The 17,846-nt window shown below is 47.2% G+C and overlaps 1 protein-coding gene across 2 annotated transcripts in view, besides 6 other annotated features; it reads right to left on the reverse strand.

The window, feature by feature from the left end:
* ITPKB (inositol-trisphosphate 3-kinase B) overlaps nucleotides 1-17,846 on the reverse strand; it is a 107,593-nt gene that overhangs the window by 66,358 nt on the left and 23,389 nt on the right. The window contains exon 3 of one of the 2 annotated variants that reach the window (NM_001388404.1): nucleotides 9,123-9,868. The exons of the other annotated variant lie outside the window; for it this stretch is intronic. Within the exon in view, the coding sequence (NP_001375333.1) occupies nucleotides 9,866-9,868 (3 nt within the window). The 3' untranslated portion in view covers nucleotides 9,123-9,865. Of the gene's footprint in view, nucleotides 1-9,122; nucleotides 9,869-17,846 lie in introns of those variants that run through there. 2 annotated transcript variants of the gene reach the window in all.
* Nucleotides 5,225-5,654: a silencer, noted in NCBI's record as "silent region_1889". NCBI's record gives its function as "represses an Ori minimal core promoter by ATAC-STARR-seq in GM12878 lymphoblastoid cells {active_cell/tissue: GM12878}" and the evidence as "EXISTENCE:reporter gene assay evidence [ECO:0000049][PMID:35858748]".
* Nucleotides 10,572-10,747: a silencer, noted in NCBI's record as "fragment chr1:226896320-226896495 (GRCh37/hg19 assembly coordinates)". NCBI's record gives its function as "represses an EF-1alpha promoter that drives an FKBP-Casp9 reporter gene in an ReSE screen in K562 erythroleukemia cells {active_cell/tissue: K562}" and the evidence as "EXISTENCE:reporter gene assay evidence [ECO:0000049][PMID:32094911]".
* Nucleotides 13,663-13,712: an enhancer, noted in NCBI's record as "active region_2666". NCBI's record gives its function as "activates an Ori minimal core promoter by ATAC-STARR-seq in GM12878 lymphoblastoid cells {active_cell/tissue: GM12878}" and the evidence as "EXISTENCE:reporter gene assay evidence [ECO:0000049][PMID:35858748]".
* Nucleotides 13,903-13,962: an enhancer, noted in NCBI's record as "active region_2667". NCBI's record gives its function as "activates an Ori minimal core promoter by ATAC-STARR-seq in GM12878 lymphoblastoid cells {active_cell/tissue: GM12878}" and the evidence as "EXISTENCE:reporter gene assay evidence [ECO:0000049][PMID:35858748]".
* Nucleotides 14,323-14,402: an enhancer, noted in NCBI's record as "active region_2668". NCBI's record gives its function as "activates an Ori minimal core promoter by ATAC-STARR-seq in GM12878 lymphoblastoid cells {active_cell/tissue: GM12878}" and the evidence as "EXISTENCE:reporter gene assay evidence [ECO:0000049][PMID:35858748]".
* Nucleotides 14,903-14,972: an enhancer, noted in NCBI's record as "active region_2669". NCBI's record gives its function as "activates an Ori minimal core promoter by ATAC-STARR-seq in GM12878 lymphoblastoid cells {active_cell/tissue: GM12878}" and the evidence as "EXISTENCE:reporter gene assay evidence [ECO:0000049][PMID:35858748]".

Below are 17,846 nucleotides of genomic sequence, written 5' to 3' on the forward strand. Positions count from 1 at the left end.
TCTGTCTGCCCAACCGGTTCAAATCTTGTTTTCTGTCCCCTAAATGTCACCAGTGTAACTGTCAAGGGGCCAAGGGGAATCACCCAAATTGGACAGCACCTTCAGGGCAGAAGCTCTGTTTGATTTATCTTTTGTTTCCACAGCACCTAGCCTACTGCCTGGCACAGAGTGGATATTCAGGAAATTTCTGTTCATGTGAAAGATGAGAAAGGTCACAGACTCCTTAAGATCCCTAAAGCAGCTACGACAGCTCATTTCTGGACTGAGCAGAGCTGACCTTAGAGGCCAGAAGGGCAGGGCTAGGGATGCTGACTGCTAGGGGGATGAGAAACCTCTCTTAAATCAGAGTATGGAGGCACTGGGCCAATTAGAGGAGGACCAACCTTTCAGAATCGTAAGACTGGAAAGTGTGTGCCTTCACGTTTCATTTTGCCTCTCCCCAGACTAAACCAACTAAACCATCTCTGGAAAAGACAGAGGCCAAGGTGACAGGAATTGTTCATTTATATATGAATGAGGCGTTGCTAAGTCATCAGAGGCTGGAGAAAAATGGAAGACTCTTTTTCCCAGGTTGCCAACCTCAAAGTTAGGTAACTATTGGCAGAGGTCAGACTAGGAAGAGGACAGGCATGATCTGCAGGAGGTTATGGAAAGCAGCATCCCAGATGGGGCAGCCCTCCCTGCTCCAGGCCACTGGGCTAGAGCTCAGCTCTGGACTGGCTTCTCATCCTGTCCTGCTGACTGCATAGTCACAGATCTGCTGATAGTCTCCAGACAAGACTAGCTCTGCTACCCTGGTCATATCTCAGGCTGGTACCCTCTCCAACCTGTTGCACCTATTTGCTTAAAATTAAGAGGGCTGAGCTGGGCAGTGCAAGAAAGAACTAGAAAGCCAGTCTCACCTGGAAACTCTACCAACTGCTATGAAGGACACAGGGAAGAGGTGGCAGGCAGGAACAATGCCTTAAGTTTTCCCCAGGTTCCTTGAACTCTCCATGGCCCTCTGGCCTCCCCTCACCCCCACTACCTCTCATAAGGAAGCAGCCCTGGCTTTCTAGTATGCTGATAATAAGGTCCTATCAGGCCAACTGAGAAAAGTCTCATCTAGAAGGAAAGTACTCAGTGCGCTATCTGTTCTGTAGGAAGGCTGAAGGCAATGCCTCCTGGTCACATCAGCAATGCTATAGAGAAAGGAAAGGTGCAAGAGCAGGACAGAGACTGCTCTGGCTGTGTACCTGGAGGATGATCTCTGAGGATCTCTGCACCGCCAAGCACCCTCCGGGCTGCTGACGACACGGTCAGATTCCCCAGTGCGTGAGCCTATACTACAGCAGTGTAGACTACAGCAGTTAAGAGCCCAACAGTGCGGCCAGGCAGGTCTGGGCTCTGAAGAACTGTGTTCACATACTAGAATTTTCTTGGACAACTGAGAAGTCATTTAACACCTCTGGAGTCTCAGTTTCCTCATCTGCAAAATAGATATATTAATAGCACTTACCTCACAGGGTCATTAGGAGGACTAAATAAGCCAAAATATTCAAACCACTTAGAACAATGCCTGGAGCATATTAAGCATTCAATGAACGTTAGTCAGTATCATCTTTACTGTCAGCTTTTTGAGAATAGCCCTTTCTGGGATATTCTTCATAGCACCCAGTACAGCAGAGCTTCATTAATTAAAAAAGAAAGAAAGAAAGAAAGAAAAAGAAAGAAAGACAGACAAACACTAAGCTATTCTATTAGTCAGGGTTCTCTAGAAGGACAGAACCAATAGGATAGATAAATATATAAAGGGGAGTTTATTAAGTATTAACTCACATGATCACAGGTCCCACAATAGGCTGTCTGCAAGCTGAGAAGCAAGGAGAGCTGGTCCAAGTCCCAAAACTGAAGAACTTCAGAGTCTGATGTTCAAGGGCAGGAAGGATCCAGCAAGGGAGAAAGATGTAGGCTGGGAGGCTTGGCCAGTCTAGTCTTTTCGCGTTTTTCTGCCTGCTTTATTTTCTATCTGCACTCGCAGCTAATTAGATGGTGCCCACCCAGATTAAGGGTGGGTCTGCCTTTCCCAGTGCACTGACTCAAATGCTAATCTCCTTTGGTAACACCGTCATAGACACACCCAGCATCAATACTTTGCAACTGGCCAGACACGGTGGCTTATGCCTGTAATCCCAGGACTTTGGTAGGCCCAGGCAGGCGGATCACAAGGTCAGGAGATCGAGACCATCCTGGCCAACATGGTGAAACCCCGTCTCTACTAAAACACAAAAAATTAGCCAGGCATGGTGGCATACGCTTGTAGTCCCACCTACTCGGGAGGCTGAGACAGGGGAATCACTTGAATCCGGGAGGCGGAGATTGCAGTGAGCCCAGATCACGCCACGGCACTCCAGCCTGGCAACGGAGCAAGACTCCGTCAAAAAAAAAAAAAAAAAAAAAAAAAAAAAAACCCAGAACTTTGCAACCTTAAATCCAATCAAGTTGACACTCAGTATTAACCATCATCACAGCTATTAATACGATTTAATATATATGTGAGGCGCTTTACACACATTGCTGAGTTCCCACATAAACCCAATGCCAAAAGTGTTTTCACAGAAAATAGCTTGCCTAGAATGATATTAGTGATTGGCCAGGCTAGGATTGAAACTCAGGCTCTGACTCCAGAGCCTGCTTCTTCTTCCCAAAGGTTACACTGCCTGCAGAACACCACCTTCTGAGCCCCTCTACCTTTATCAGAATGAGAAGGGAGTGGGGGCCCAAACAAAATTCAAGCAAGAGAGGAAGAGAACACAAAAAGAGATGCTGGGAAGCTCAGAAGAAATTCACCACCTTGTCAAGGCCTGTGTCTTTTTCTGGATCTGGGTTTGTCATCATTTGCAGCTTTTGCTTTGACTCTGGATGTTAGATTACGTAGAGCACTACATGGAGCACACGGTGCCTTCAATGAGAAACCAGCAAGCAGTCAGTCTGAAACTGTTTCTATAGACGTGGACAAGACTTCTCACAATGTCCCAGCTACCCAATGACACTGATTCTAATGCTAACACACCTCCAGGCACTTCAAATGCTTTTGGCACTCTGACCAGAAGCTAGCCACGCAGGGTCTGTGTGAGCCGCAGCAAGGCTGTCTGCTATATAAGCTCAGAACTCCTGCTTTTGGAAGAAGTATCATTTCAACAGAACAGAAAGTGACACCCCAACAGTAGAATTCCTACAAATTCTAACTGTGCTAACATCTTCCTAACAACAGTCCTACTTAAAAACTTCACTTTGGCCGGGCGCGGTGGCTCACGCCTGTAATCCCAGCACTTTGGGAGGCCGAGGCAGGCGGATCACGAGGTCAGGAGATCGAGACCATCCTGGCTAACACGGTGAAACCCCGTCTCTACTAAAAATACAAAAAATTAGCCGGGCGTGGTGGTGGGCGCCTGTAATCCCAGCTACTCGGGAGGCTGAGGCAGGAGAATGGCATGAACCCAAGAGGCGGAGCTTGCAGTGAGCCGGGATAGCGCCACTGCAGTCCAGCTTGGGCGAAAGAGTGAGACTCCGTCTCAAAAAAAAAAAAAAAAAAAAAAAAAAAACTTCACTTTACCCATTTTCTCCAAGGACTTAATCTCTTAAGCTCCACAGAGCCATGGAGACGCACACAGCAAACTGTCAGCACACAGGGAGTAGGAGGGGTGGGACAGTCTTCCCAAATTCTGCTGCTGGCTGCGCCTGAAATGAGTACACACACTTCAGGGGCGCTCACTAACCCACCCAGTTGTGACTGCAGATGTCATGATGACTGAATCCTTCTGACTCCTTGTCAGCATCAGCACTCCCTAATTCTGCAGAATAACTGGTACCAAATAGCCATTTCCTGCTCATTCACGGCTCCCTTAACAGAAAACTCCCTCCTCCTTCCTCCCCTAAGTCCCATGCACACACAGAGAGGGAATCAGAAAAGGCAGGAAATGCTTGCCTAAGACCAGAGAAAATGCCAGGGAAGAGAGAGACAAGAAAATTCCACCAGGTCTATGTTGAGCAGGGAAATTATTCCCCCAAGAGAAAAGTTCAACTTGGCCCGGCACGGTGGTTCATGCCTGGAATCCCAGCACTTTGGGAGGCCGAGGTGGGTGGATCACTTGAGGTCTAGAGTTCAAGACCAGCCTGGCCAACATGGCAAAACCCCGTCTCTACTAAAAAATACAAAAATTAGCCGGGTGTGGTGGTGGGCGCCTATAATCCCAGCTACTCGGGAGACTGAGGCAGGGAGAATTGCTTTAACCAGGGGGGCGGAAGTTGCAGTGAGCGGACATCACGCCACTACACTCCAGCCTGGGCGACACAGTGAGACTCCCTCTCGGAAAAAAAAAAAAAAAGGGAAAGTTCAACTTGACGGCTACCCCTATTTCATCATGGTGAGGTACAGAAAAAGGATTCCCTTCTGCAGCGCTGCCTATCCTCTTCTGATGACCTCACTGTGGCTATCTGGTTACAAAGGCAGGCAACAACTGGCACTAGGCCTAGAGAGAGATGACCAAAATTGACTACGCTTGCACAGTAAGGGACTAGATTTAATCCAATCATTTGGCTCCAAGAAATGCACGAAATACAACTACTGGTATTCTCTTTATTCGGCAGATGGTAATGAAGACCCATTGGGAGGGTGCCTTCCCATTTTGTCAGTCTAGGACCTGAGTGGAGTCCCAACCGGGAAGCCTGGGGCAGTGTGCTAAACCAGCAGCCAACAGATACTGCATTCCAATAGTGGCTTCTTGGTCCCCTGGCATTTTTTGTGCTTACCTTTAACTAACTGTTCCTTGCCTAAGCTCCTTCCAACCTCAAGGAACTAAGAGAATTTCATTCCTTTCTAATTAAATATTTTTCCTCCAATAGATAATCCACACTGACCCTATCGAGGGAAAATCTGAGCTGGTGTAACTGCAGGAGGTGGTTTATTTTCATAACAGTAAAACATCTAAACCAAATATGCCCTGTGTTTCAGCAGCTTAAACATTGAGGTCTGACAAGAACCCGAGATTCCACTTTGCCTGCCAAGGGCTAAGTGTGTATGCTGAAGCGAAAGAAAGTGATTATGAGGAAAAATGGGGAATGTCTGAGTGGGTGAAGGAAAAAAAAAGTGCAAGATATTACTAGAAAAACCTGACTGCACACACAATCCTATCCCCTACGCAGGAGAAAGACCGAGTGCTAGCACCCGGGGTGTGAAAGCCTGCACCAAGGGACCCAGGAACCAGGCGTGCCTCCATTTCTCACTCGATTTGTTTACAATGAACGGACGGCGCCGGAGTCCCTCCGCCCTCAGCTCAGGCCCGGTTCCCACCGCCCGACGCTGGCTGGCCGAGGCAGGGGCGCGGCGGGGGATTTCGGGCAGGGCGGTGAAGCAGGGCCTGCTCTACAGGGGGCTTTTCTTCGCCGCGGTTTCTTCCCCTGTCGCTGCCCGGCCCCCACCTCCTCTCTCCTCCCGCGCGCGCTCTGCCCGCCGCCCACGCGCGGAAGCCCGCGGCCGGGGAGGGGGCGCCGTCTCCCGGCATGCTCGGCGGCGGTGCCGGTCACGTGACGGGAAGGCGGCCGCCCCTGTCGCCTTCGCCAGCGCTAGCGGGCCCGCAGCAGAGGCAGTAGCGGGGCTTGAAATGCTGACCTGCACCCCTGGCTTGCGCTCCCCCAGGCGGGAAAGACAAGGGGGCTGCTGTTGCTGCTTACGAAAAGAATCTCAGCGCTGCTGGCCGCCAGCTTCCGGCTTGGGAGAAAGGATGTGTTTCAGTCTGGGTTTCCTCATTTGCAAAATGGGTATACTTTTTGTAGGGTTGAACTGTAGGTCAGCAGGCTCCCAAATCCTGTCTTTCCTTGTCCCCCTCACCCCCAAGAGTAACAACTTTTAATTAATTTTGTTCAAGAGCTAATAAAAAAAAAATCTTCATTTCTTTGGATGACACTGTGCCCAACTCCACGGTCAGCTTGCAGAGCGTAGCGGTTCTGCCCGAAACCCATCCGCCCAAGGCTTTTATTTTCCTAGATCTCAAACAGTGGGAGGGTCGGACTCTAAATACTATTTGTTTAGACCCCTGAAAATTTTTGATAATTCAATCTTAAGCCGAATTCCGTTTACCTTTACAGTATGAAAAAAGAGTGACTACGAAATAAAGAATATAAACATTAATAGTACAAGCACTTCAGAAAAATGTTTAGCATGCCGTAAAATACCAATTACAAAGCATTGTTAACTCTCAATAATTAGATCTCCGATGTAATTATACATGACCAATAAAGTAATAACACTACTTATCTTTAAAAACATTAATATAACCAAGACTACCCACATTGCAACAGGTTATCATACCTGGTCAACACGAGAATTCCCTGTAAAAAAGCTTCTCGTGTGTGCTAATGAAGATGTGTGAGAATGGAGAATAACTCAGCTAGTTTATTTCCTGGGCATTTATGAAAAACTGAATTGAGCGGGCAGCAATGAAAATTGTCATTCTGGGGAATGCAATATTTTTCCGCTTTGGGGAAATGAGCAAAAACATGTGACAAAAGCACTGGAGATAAAAGTGACACTGGGAAAGACAGTTTACAGTGGCTTGAAACAAAGCAGTGCATCATTCTGCCAACTTTACAGCCAAGCTTTTTTCAGAGATCATTGGCTACTTAAACAGTAAGTAATGGACGTTCAACAATGCTGTGCCCAGTCTAAAACTAAGAGGCTTTTATCTCTACCGATGACATGAGAAAACCTGTGACTACACACAGCCTCGACTTCATTTGAAATCTTGAGCTGGAATGACTTTTCTTAAAGTCAGAGGCTCCTTTGCACAGTGGAACAAACTCCTCATAAAATTTACAACTTGAAAGAAGTACTGGCAAAAGCTTGTACTTTTTAAAAGAATCACAGCATTGCTCTTGCTTGGCCAAATGTATTAAATGTTCAGAGATGAATTCCAGAATAGATAGGAGATAAGAACAGCATCAGTAACTGGGATAAAACCAGAAGGGCCTAAGAAAAGTTATAGGTCAGTTACTCAAAGGCTCCCCACATTCAGGCCACTCTCCCACAGAGCAAAATTATCCTAACATTATGTAAAACATTTAGGTGCTAATTCCTTTATCCCTCATCTCACATTTTTGATGTGAGAACATTCTGATGGCCAGAGGAAGAGAGGAGAGTCCAGAAACATACAACTTGATGTCGGTCAGGCACAGTGGCTCACACCTGTAATCCCAGCACTTTGGGAGGCCAAGGCGGGCAGGTCACCTGAGGTCGGGAGTTCGAGACCAGCCTGACCAACATGGAGAAACCTCATCTCTGCTAAAAATACAAAATGAGCCGGGCGTGGTGACGCGTGCCTGTAAACCCAGCTACTCGGGAGGCTGAAGCAGGAGAATCACTTGAACCTGGGAGGCAGAGGTTGCGGTGAGCCAAGATCGCACCATTGCATTCCAGCCTGGGCAACAAGAGCAAAACGCCATCTCAAAAAAAAAAAAAAAAAATGATGTCAAAGCTTCTGATTTTCTCCCTCCTTCCCCAAGCTTCCTGGGTCAAATCCAAATATGCAGATGTGCCTATGGGCACATACGGGCCTGAATACCTTCAATTTCCCACCAAGGAGACTTGTATCTGTGACTGCCTCCACCCCATTCCGGGAGGCTAGGCTGGCCTCCACAGTTGGAGGTTGCAGGCATCCCCTCTCCAGCTATATCAACTTATACTGCATGTTTTCTCCTGACCCCTGAGGACAGATCTTTGAGGCCCGAATCATTTCTTAGGACTCCCTGTCAGGCAGGTCATTTGAGGAATTAGAAACTCTGAAGTCCCTGGGAACCATGCAAGCCCAGAGTGCTGGGAAAGCACTTGTAGAGCCATCAGAAGGGATTCCCCTCACATCTTCCAACTCCCAAGCACCCATATGTTCACATAAACATCAACCCAACCAGTTTGTTGCCTCTTATTCCAAGCTGCTAAAGGGCTGGAAGAGGAGGCTGAGGGTCAGCAGGCAGAGGCTAGTATCTGCTGGGAATTGCCAGAAAGATGATCCCCCTCCTGTGAGGTGAAGGTCAAAACCAAGTAAATCCCATTTCCACTCCACAAACCTGTAAGAGTTCAATTGTTTAAATCAAAGGCAGTACGAAATTTAGAAAGATTAAGATGATGGGAAAGAACGTGGTACCACAAGTTGAACTCAATCCTGGAAAATAATAAATGATAAAACAATAAATAAAAATACTTGATAGTGAAACCCATTGGGCTGGACAGTGGTTTCCTCCAAGTTAAGTACAAGAGACTCCCTTTTATCCATTTCCATACCTAGGGTTCTTGACAGAAAACTTTCTAGAATGTGGGTTTTCTGAGCTGAGAGGGACTTCAGAGATCAACAAGTCTTTGGGTTCCAAACCTGAAGACTGTGGGCTAGGATCTAGACAGGCTTCTTGTTATCAATGTCCTGAAAGGGCAACATGGCCTGTGAAATGTGCCTCTCTCTGGAAAAAGGGTGTGTGGCTTTCTACCACTTTCCAAAATGGCATAAGACCCAAAAGGGGTTAAAAAACACTGATTTGGTCCAGCTCTTGGATTTCACAGATAAGACCCAGAAAACTCAGTTGAGTGCTCCAGGTGACAGGGCAAATTATATGTCACCTTCTAAAGCTGGTTGGGGCCTGTGGGAGGAGGAGGAGGATACCACTCGAGCTAACAGGTCTTTTCCATTTCTAATTACAAGGATTCCATGAAGTTTCCAGCCGCCAGTCTGTCTGGCTTTCTGGGCCTGGGTGTGTCAGTCGCCACTCTGTTGCCGAGGTGCACAGATGGCCAGGGGACTGGGGTGGCTGGATATGGCCAGCAGCCAGCTGGCTAGCATCCAGGCATCAGCTCTCAGCCAAATTTCTTCCTGGGGGCTCAAAAAGGGGTTTCCAAAAAGTCCAGTCCACAGAATGAGGCACAGTTCAATCCTCTAGGGACTCATCACTAAGGGTGGTTGCATAAGAAAAATTATGAAAAACCATCACCCTCCAGTACCATATGGGCTCTATTTCCAGGCCAGCGCAATTAAGAACAATTTCACAAGGAAATAAAGGGACCTAGTAGAATAATTCAGAATAAAAACATTATTGCCAAATAAAGTACAATCTTTTTTTATTTTTTATTTATTTATTTATTTTTGAGATGGAGTTTAGCTCTTTCGCCCAGGCTGGAGTGCAGTGGTGCTATCTCGGCTCACCGCAACCTCCGCCTCTCAGGTTCAAGCAATTCTCCTGCCTCAGCCTCCCAAGTAGCTGGGATTACAGGTGCCCACCACTACACCTGGCTAATTTTTGTATTTTTTAGTAGAGACGGGGTTTCACCATGTTGGCCAGGCTGGTCTCAATCTCTTGACCTCAGGTGATCCGCCCGCCTTGGCCTCCTAAAGTGCTGGGATTACAGATGTGAGCCACTGCGCCTGGCCAATAAAGTAAAATTTTAAGAGAAAAACATGGAATGGAAGAATATTTGTACATTAAGTAACTGACAGCTTACTATATAAAATGCCATCAACATGTTCGGGCAGTGGGGGCTCAATGGGGATAAATAGGCAGTGTACACATGAGTAACTCAAGGCCATCATCACAAGGAAACATGTAGAGTCCCTCTTGAAAACTAAAGAATTACAAATTACAACTTCAAGGGACAGTAAGACAATATCAAACTACAAACAAAATCCAATGGTCGTAGGGAAACTGCAGCACTTAGACTTTACAGATGACCCCGTAATTGGCTCAGTCTTTCCAGAGAGTAGTGTAGGAAGATGAAATATGCTATACATCATTCTTGGTATTGGACGTTGCCCCAGCAGTACCACTGAGGGGAACACTTCCCAAGAAGTCACTAAAGGGAGAAGAAAAGAGGTCATTTTAACAAAAATACTCATGGCTGCATATGGCAATAACTGCAACAAAATATGGAAACTACCCACCAAAGGTAGGAGTAAGATGATGTAAATGATGTAGTAGCTCAAAGTTCACACTCAGGAATCAGACCACACAGTTGATTACTGTATGAAATGACGTTAAAACAATAAAAGATAAAACTAGTACAATCAGATTGCAATTATGTAAAACAAAATTAGGCAATTGATCAAAGACCAAATTGGATTTACAACGATTGTAAATACCTAGAATGAGTTAAATCATTCATTTAGTCGTGGTTATCATTATTTAGTCATGGTTATCATTAGCTTCTTTCTCTGTAATGTTTAAGTTTTTGTTAAAAACCAAAAAGAACAAAAAATAAATCAAACCTGCCTCAAACCGTTGGTAGAATAACAGCTCAAGGGACCTAACTGAGACCCACCCAAATGTATGCTCTTTGGAGCTACTCCCAGAGTCAATACTAATTGTTATAAGCCACTCCCATGCCAGAGGCTGACTTAGGCACGAGTAACTCGAGACATTCTGGTCAATGAGACACAGGGGATATCTGCTGGGAGCCTTCTGAAAAAGATGTCTCGGCCTTAGACACCATGAAGAGCCATCCCCTTTTTCCTCCAAGGGATATTATCATTTCCACACAGGACACGAGGCCCTGTAGCACCCATCTGGCAACCACGAGGAAAGATGAGTCAACACGTTGTGAGACAGGGCAGAGAGATGCAGAGGACACAGGTCTTTCAGTAACTCTGCTATGCTGATGAATTAGCCAATGCTAGAACTGCCTGTGCTGGGACTTACTGATCAAGGTGAAAGAATGTGTTTTCTTTATTGTTCAACTCTACTGGGTTGCAGTTTTCTGATACTTGCAGCTGACAGCATCTTAACTCGTGAGGCAGCAAGCCTGAGCAGCTTTCTGATGCAGGCCTGGCAGGCCATGCTGCCCTAGGCCAGTATTCTGCCAGGCCCCTCACTGTATTCCATTCTGGGGGAGAGCCTAAGGGAGACGGAAGAAGACACTGGTGAACACGAGTTACACCAGGCCTCAGAACAACTCCAGATGGTACAGCAAGCAGGTGGCAGCAGTGGGCAGCAGAGCCCCAGACGTCTGGCCCCTCAATAGGGGACCTCCAGAGGCCTCTGGGCCACCAGCTGTCTCCTTTCTGGATTCACCCATTTCACAAAGGCTGTGACAAAACTGCCTTCTGGGTTAGAGCTGCCAGAAAAAGTACAGGATGCCCAGTTACGTTTGGATTTTAGATAAACAACAAGTGACTTTTTAGCATGAGTATGTCTCATGCCTTTATTCTGGCTGCACCCCCTCCCTGGCGAGGCACCAGGCTAGCAACATCCAGAAACAGAGATGGCCTCCCCTGCCCTGGGCTGCCTGTCTGGGCTGCCGTGGGTGTGTCTGGCCCAGTGGTAGGAGGATGTCCAGTGTCTGGCCTCTCCAGGTCTCCGATGGGTCTAGGAATGTCTGATGTGCATTTTATAGTAACAGACAAGAAGTGGCTAACACTTAAAATGTATGGGTGGGGTGGGTGTCACTGCGGTCCTGGGACACTTGGAAACTATGCAGCAGGCTGTGGAGGGGACTAGGGTAGAGGCAGGCACAGTGGCTCCTGACATCCAACTTCCCCCCAACAAGAACTTCCTAGGTAAAGCAGAAGACGTGATACTTCCCTGACCTTCCTTTGTCTAAATATGAAACTTCCATGACTGGGGACCAACGGTGAGAAGCGGCAGTGGGCAGGGCCTAGCCCTCACCTGTCCCTGTCTACAGGCCCACCTGACCTGCAATTAGGTTTCCTCACTGTCATTCTCTCTTGGGCCATGTCTTACGGCATGATACTCCTGCCCAAGGACAGTGCTTAACTTGTTTGGTGCAGCACTATCTCCCTGCTTGAAGAGAGTCCCTTAGTAAAGCTTGCTGATGAGAGCAGAGCCTCATTTCTTGCAACCTTGCTTTATGGTTCCCTGTCTAGTATCCTGACAGCATCCTGCCTGGGGCCAGCACTAGCTCATAACTACCTGGGAAGAAATCACTCCCTAATGGGAAGATTCACAACCCACCCACCACAAAATTCAGCCACATCCCAGTGACAGATAAATCTGTCTTCCCTGCCCCTGTCTCCTCTCCCCTGACTCACGGCCTCCTTCAGAAGGTGCCGTGCTAACAGGTAGCATTGGAAAAGAAGTCTGGGGTGGGGCAGCTGGTGATTGGCTGGTGATAATGTCCCTCAGAAGAACAGAAAGGGGGAAACAAATGGAAGCACCTGTGTTCATGGTGAGCCCTTTTAACTAGTTATTTCTTTTTAGAAACGGGAGACAGAAAATAAACAGAAACTGCAGATAGCAATGAAGTAAGCAAGTAGGGGCCAGCTACGTAAGTTTCAGGGCCCAGTGCAAAGTAAAAATGCAGCGCCCTTGTTCAAAAAGCAGGAAAAAAGTGCCATAAAACGTACTAAAATAAACCGTTTCCTTCCTTTCTTCTGCAGGGTTTCTCTCAACTTGATACAGTGTTTCTTATTTGCTGTTTAATGAGTGCAGAGTCTCACAAGATGCTGGGATCCCGCCCCTTGACTCTGGCCACTCTTAAGCGTCTACTGCCGTCCTCTACCAGGTGCTGGGCCAGGAGCAGAGAGGTCCCCTCTTCCCACACACCTGCCTGGGCAGACCCAAAGCGATTACACACTCATGCTGGGACACGCTTGGTATTTGGATCTGGAGTGAGCTGGATTCTCATGCAGTTGTCCACTTTTTGGCCCTGCCAGCCTGGGGTAGGGATGGCCACCACACCCTGCCTTGGGACACCAGTGACGCCAACTCTATCCCTCCCTGAACCTTCACCCAGGCCCCTGATGGGATCAGAAGAGTCAGTAGTTGCCAGGGGTGGGGAGAAGGAAGTCAGGTGGGACTGGAGCCCAGAGAATTCATGCTTCATTGTCCCACTGGACTTCACTTACAAACACCAACTCAAAGAATTATTAAGAATTTCAAGGCAGCAATGGGCCAGGCATTCAACCCCAAAAGCAGGGCCCTTCTGAGCATGCGGCCTGTGCAACTGCATTCATGAAGCTGGCCCCACAGGTAATAGTGCTTATTAAGAGACATCTTATTAAGACATTCTTATTAAGAAAGAATGAAAACAAAGCCAAACAAAATGCACAAGATTCTCCAATTAACTGAGGGTGCTCAGTCAATTGGGTGCTCATAAATAGGACAAAAAAAATGAAAATTCTTCACTTAAAAAAATTTGGCCAACACCATGTCCAAGCTGACAGGACATTTCTCAGCCTAACATCCTCTACCTCCTTCCTACTCCACCTCCCCAAAATCCTTTGACTCCAGTTCGATATCCTCTTGAGATGTTGCCAAGGTAAATAATTCCTTGCAGTGGTTCCTAACCAGATGCAGTACCTGCCTCCAGCCCTAGAGGGTGTTTTGAAAGAGAGAGAGAGAGAGAGAGAGAGAGAGAGAGAGAGAGTGTGTGTGTGTGTGTGTGTGTGTGTTGTGTATGTTGCACAATGGCAAATAGTGCTCCAAGGCCCAGATGCCCAGATGCTCAGTGACCTTCAGTGTGCTGGACAGTCCCAAACAATGGGGATCGTCCGACCGAAAATGACAATCATGGGTTGTTTGAAAAAACTACCCAGGGAAATTGCAAGGAACCAACGCTTAAATGGAAACCTCCCAACCTGGACCTCCCATCATTTGTCCTGGCGATGACGAGTGCTGAACAGAAGTTCCTCAGGAGTGTTGCCCATCCCCATCCCCTCTGGAGTTTGAGCTGAACCCACTAGGGTGTCTGCTCATACTTAGCATCCCTCACCACCGTGTCCATCCCTGACCCAGAGACTCCATGTTAAAAGGCAAAAGGGGGAAGATGAGGGGCTTCCCTGTAGGCTGGTACCATGTTGGTCCCCAGCTCAGCTAGTGGGAAGCTCACTAGGGTGAGGTTGGGCATTTGCCTGGACATTTTTATTCTCCTCCCTGTTCTGCAAAAGGCCTCCCTGCGGGGAAGGTTTTCTCTCTCAGAAGGCGTCCCTCACCCTGGCCTCAGAGCTCCGGGAGAAGGGCTTCAGGAAATGTTCTCCCCGGTGGTGTACAGTAAGCCGCGAGGGTGGAAACTTAGCAAGAGTGAGATAATAGTCTTAGTTTTATATATAGCACCTGTGTCTTCCGGAGACCTCAGAGCATGGGGTAAGGGCAGGGTTTAAACCACCTTCCCACCGCACGAGAGATGGGCAGGGCTCACTGCGAGGCAACCCCTCTCTCTGAGTCCTGCTGCTGCCCCCTGTCCTGGCAGCCCAGACCCCCTTCCTGGGAACTGGCAGGCCCTCGTGAGGTCCATAGCCATCTGGCTCCCCAGCCTTCGTGGTCACTGCAGGCACAGTCCTGATCCTAGGATACGTGAAGGGTAAGTGGGTGTTCATAGCTACTCCACCTGAATGGACAACTGACAAGGTGAAGAAAGCCGAGGCTGTGTGCGCCACTGACAAAGGGCCTTCTTTACTCAAATTCCCAGAGCCTGGGCACTTGCAAACACTTCCTACATAGCTGTATGCAACATGCCCATTTTACAGCCGGGAAACAAAGACGTTGAAGGGAAGGTGGTCACCGTGAAGGGAGCGCTCGGCTGGAAGGAAGTGGGCTGGCATTGCCCTAGCCCTGCACTCCCTGGACGGCCTGTGACCTTGTTCAGGCCCGTCTGTCTGTTCTGGCCCTGAGCATTAAGGCTCCTCTTAAATTATCTGGTCCTGTGTTTCCTGCTTAAGCACCCAGAAGGGCAATATTGCTCTCCGAAGGAGAAAAGAACAATACAGATTGCAGGTGTGAAAATATTAGCGTCCCGGTGCATCACGGAGCACCCTGAGTGTCTGCTTGGGGAGGGAGGAAACACACAACCCAGATTAAGCAGCTATCAGCAAACCACAGGATGGTCAGTAACGCTCACGCAGCTGCACACAACTTCCATCGCACCCCTCCAGTGGGTGTACGCATGTGCCCACCCACACTTATCTACACACCCACATATCTACACCCATACATGCATGCATGCACGTAAACACACACTGCACACTTACCCATATACACACATGCATGCACACACACATACACACGTGCATATGCGCAAATAAATATACACACATATACACACACATACATACACACTCATGCTCCGCTAAGACACCAGAGGTGAGGAGACTCCGGACCCAGCTGGCTATTCGACCTCTTCGCATTTCTAGAATGCCCCCGCCCCCGGTTCCCAGACGGCTACTAATTCTGCCTTCCTTTGAGTTGCTGCCTGTGTCCCCTTCCTCCCACTCCCACATTTACCCTGGCTTCCTACACACCATGGGGCGAAACAGTTCAGAAATAGAGTGGAAACCAGGTTTGGAGAGAACACTTTATTAGGGAGGGAAGTGGCAAACAATTGCTATTTTTATTTTTGTTTCTCTAAGGCCTCTGTGCCCCCTCTGTCAAGGGGCGACAAGGACGGCGTCCTCCCCACAGGTTTCCGGTGTCATCCCGTTTTAGATCCACTACGGCCAGGCACCCTATCTCCTCACCCCAGGGCCAGGGCCAGAGTCGTGGTCTGGAGGAATTTCTAACAAGGAGAATGCTCCTTGGTGTATAAGGAATTTGTTCGGGGTTTACTAAAATCATCCAGAATGTTCTCAGTCGCTACTGTTGGCATCTCTTCGCTCTCAGACTCAGCCCCATAAATTCAGAGTTCACGAAGGACACCCTCCTGCTGCTTGACACTTGGCTCAGGCTTTAAAACTGTTCTTTTTACTACAGTGACAGCCAAAGAAAGCATCCTGGGTGTTCAGATAACAATCAGTGTCCTGAACAACTACCCCTCCACATAAAACAATCTACCACATCCAGGCTATATTGACTTCAATCAGTTCTATCACTCCCACCCCAACATCCTGACTCTAAAAACTGAGGGCTTGTGACCTGGTCCCACAAGGACTTTCCTTGACTTACTCAGATAATTGATATTTTTTAAAATCTTGACCGTCTATGGCAAAGGGCCCTTCTTGAAAGCCAAGCTAGGAGGCTCTCAGAGAGCAGACAATGAGTTGTGTGTGCTTGAACATTTCAGGTATGAGCCTCTGACATCTATGGTACACCTGAGTGCTGTCCCCAAATATTTCTAGTTCTCCTGGGCACATGGTAGGACTCTACTCTCTTGGCCCCTTAAAATTAGGTGAGGACAGCAGACTTACCTGGCCAATTAAATGTGAGCAGAAGTGGTAAGTGTTGCTTGTCTGGAATGTAGCTTTACAAGTCAGTATGTGATTCACCATGTTCTCATTCCCTCTGTACAGTAACCAGCACCATGAGACCACAGCTGACCCAGATCAGGTATGTGGCATGAGCAGAAAATAAACCTTTCTTGTTTTCTGCTGCCAATTCTGGGGCTGTTTGTTACTGCAACATAACCTAGCTCATCCTGACTAACACAACACCTTTGATTTGAAGTAAGAATGACATGAAGAGCTGCTGTAACCCTGGCTTGCTGTTTGAACAGAGGAAACAAGAGAACAGCACTGAAGAGTAAATTAAAGGGTCTATAGAAAACTACCTGTCATCCTCAAGGTTGCCCTGCTTCCTCCTGCTGCCATGCTTTTGTGCACACACATCCCTTTACTCCAGATAGTCTTCCTTTTTCTCTGACTACGTGAATCCCTTCAAAATTCAACTCCAATGGCACCATATCTGAGAATATTTCTCTTCTCCACCACCCTAGGTAGTGTTGGCATCTGTCCTCTGCTGTCAGCAGGAATTGGGACTTCACACTGTAAACATGCTTATTCTCTCCCATAGCATTCACTCATCTGGGAAGACAGTACAGAGTGGTGGGCACAAGAGCAGGCTCTAGAGCAGTGCTTTTCAATCAGGGGCGATTCTCCCCATGGGGGACATTTGGCAATGTCTGGAGACATCTGGTTGTCACAAATGGGGGGAGGTGCTACTGACCAGAGATACTGCTAAACATCCTACAGTACACAGAGCAGCCCCACACAACTGAAAAGTATCTGTCCCTAAATGCCAACGATGAGAAACTCTAAGAATATCTTGGTTCATAGCCTGACTCTTCTATTACTATGATTTTAGACATGTCACTTAACTTCTCCTTCAATGACTACCACATAATAAAAGCATAATAGGTATTAGGTATTACAATCTGCCTCCTCTACTAAACTTCGAATCCCTAGAAGGTAGGAACTAAGCTATGCTTGTACATGTATCCCTACTGCCAGTACACCATGAACGTTTGTGAACTCCATGGGTAAAGCGTTAGTTCACTCTTTTCTGAAAGCTAGTTAGTCGCAGGTAGTAGATAAAACCCTCTACCTTGCACCAAAAAGACAAGGCCTGTGCGTGCATTCTCTTTAGCAAAACCTCTGCTGGTTTTAATAGAAAGTATTTATTCTAGTTCATTGCGAAGCACAAATGCAAGTATAGTAACTCTGACCCAGAAGATTTAAGAAACCAGAAGATCAACACACACAACCATCCTGGAAGAATGTAAGTTCACGGAAATTAAATTTTATAACAATGATGCCATCTGGAGAAGTAACTTGAATCAAAATGAACTAACTACTCACCAATGGCCATAATATATTTTATGTATTCAAATAAACCAAACACAAATATCAGATTGAGTCAGGAATGTAACAAGAGGTTTTTGTATAGCAATATTTTGTTTTATTTTTCCCATTCAACGTCAATTTTCTAGGTATTACAAGTTTTCTTTCTTTATTAAACCAAGTCATTTGAAACCTTCAAAACGTGCAAGATTTCCTGATTCACACTGTAATACTCTATTGCTTTTATTTTTATGTATTTATTTTTGAGATGAAGTCTCGCTCTGTCGCCCAGACTGGAGTGCAGTGACAAGATCTCGGCTCACTGAAACC

This window comes from Homo sapiens, chromosome 1, assembly GCF_000001405.40.
Source record: "Homo sapiens chromosome 1, GRCh38.p14 Primary Assembly".
In the NCBI taxonomy this organism is placed as follows: Eukaryota; Metazoa; Chordata; class Mammalia; order Primates; family Hominidae; genus Homo; species Homo sapiens.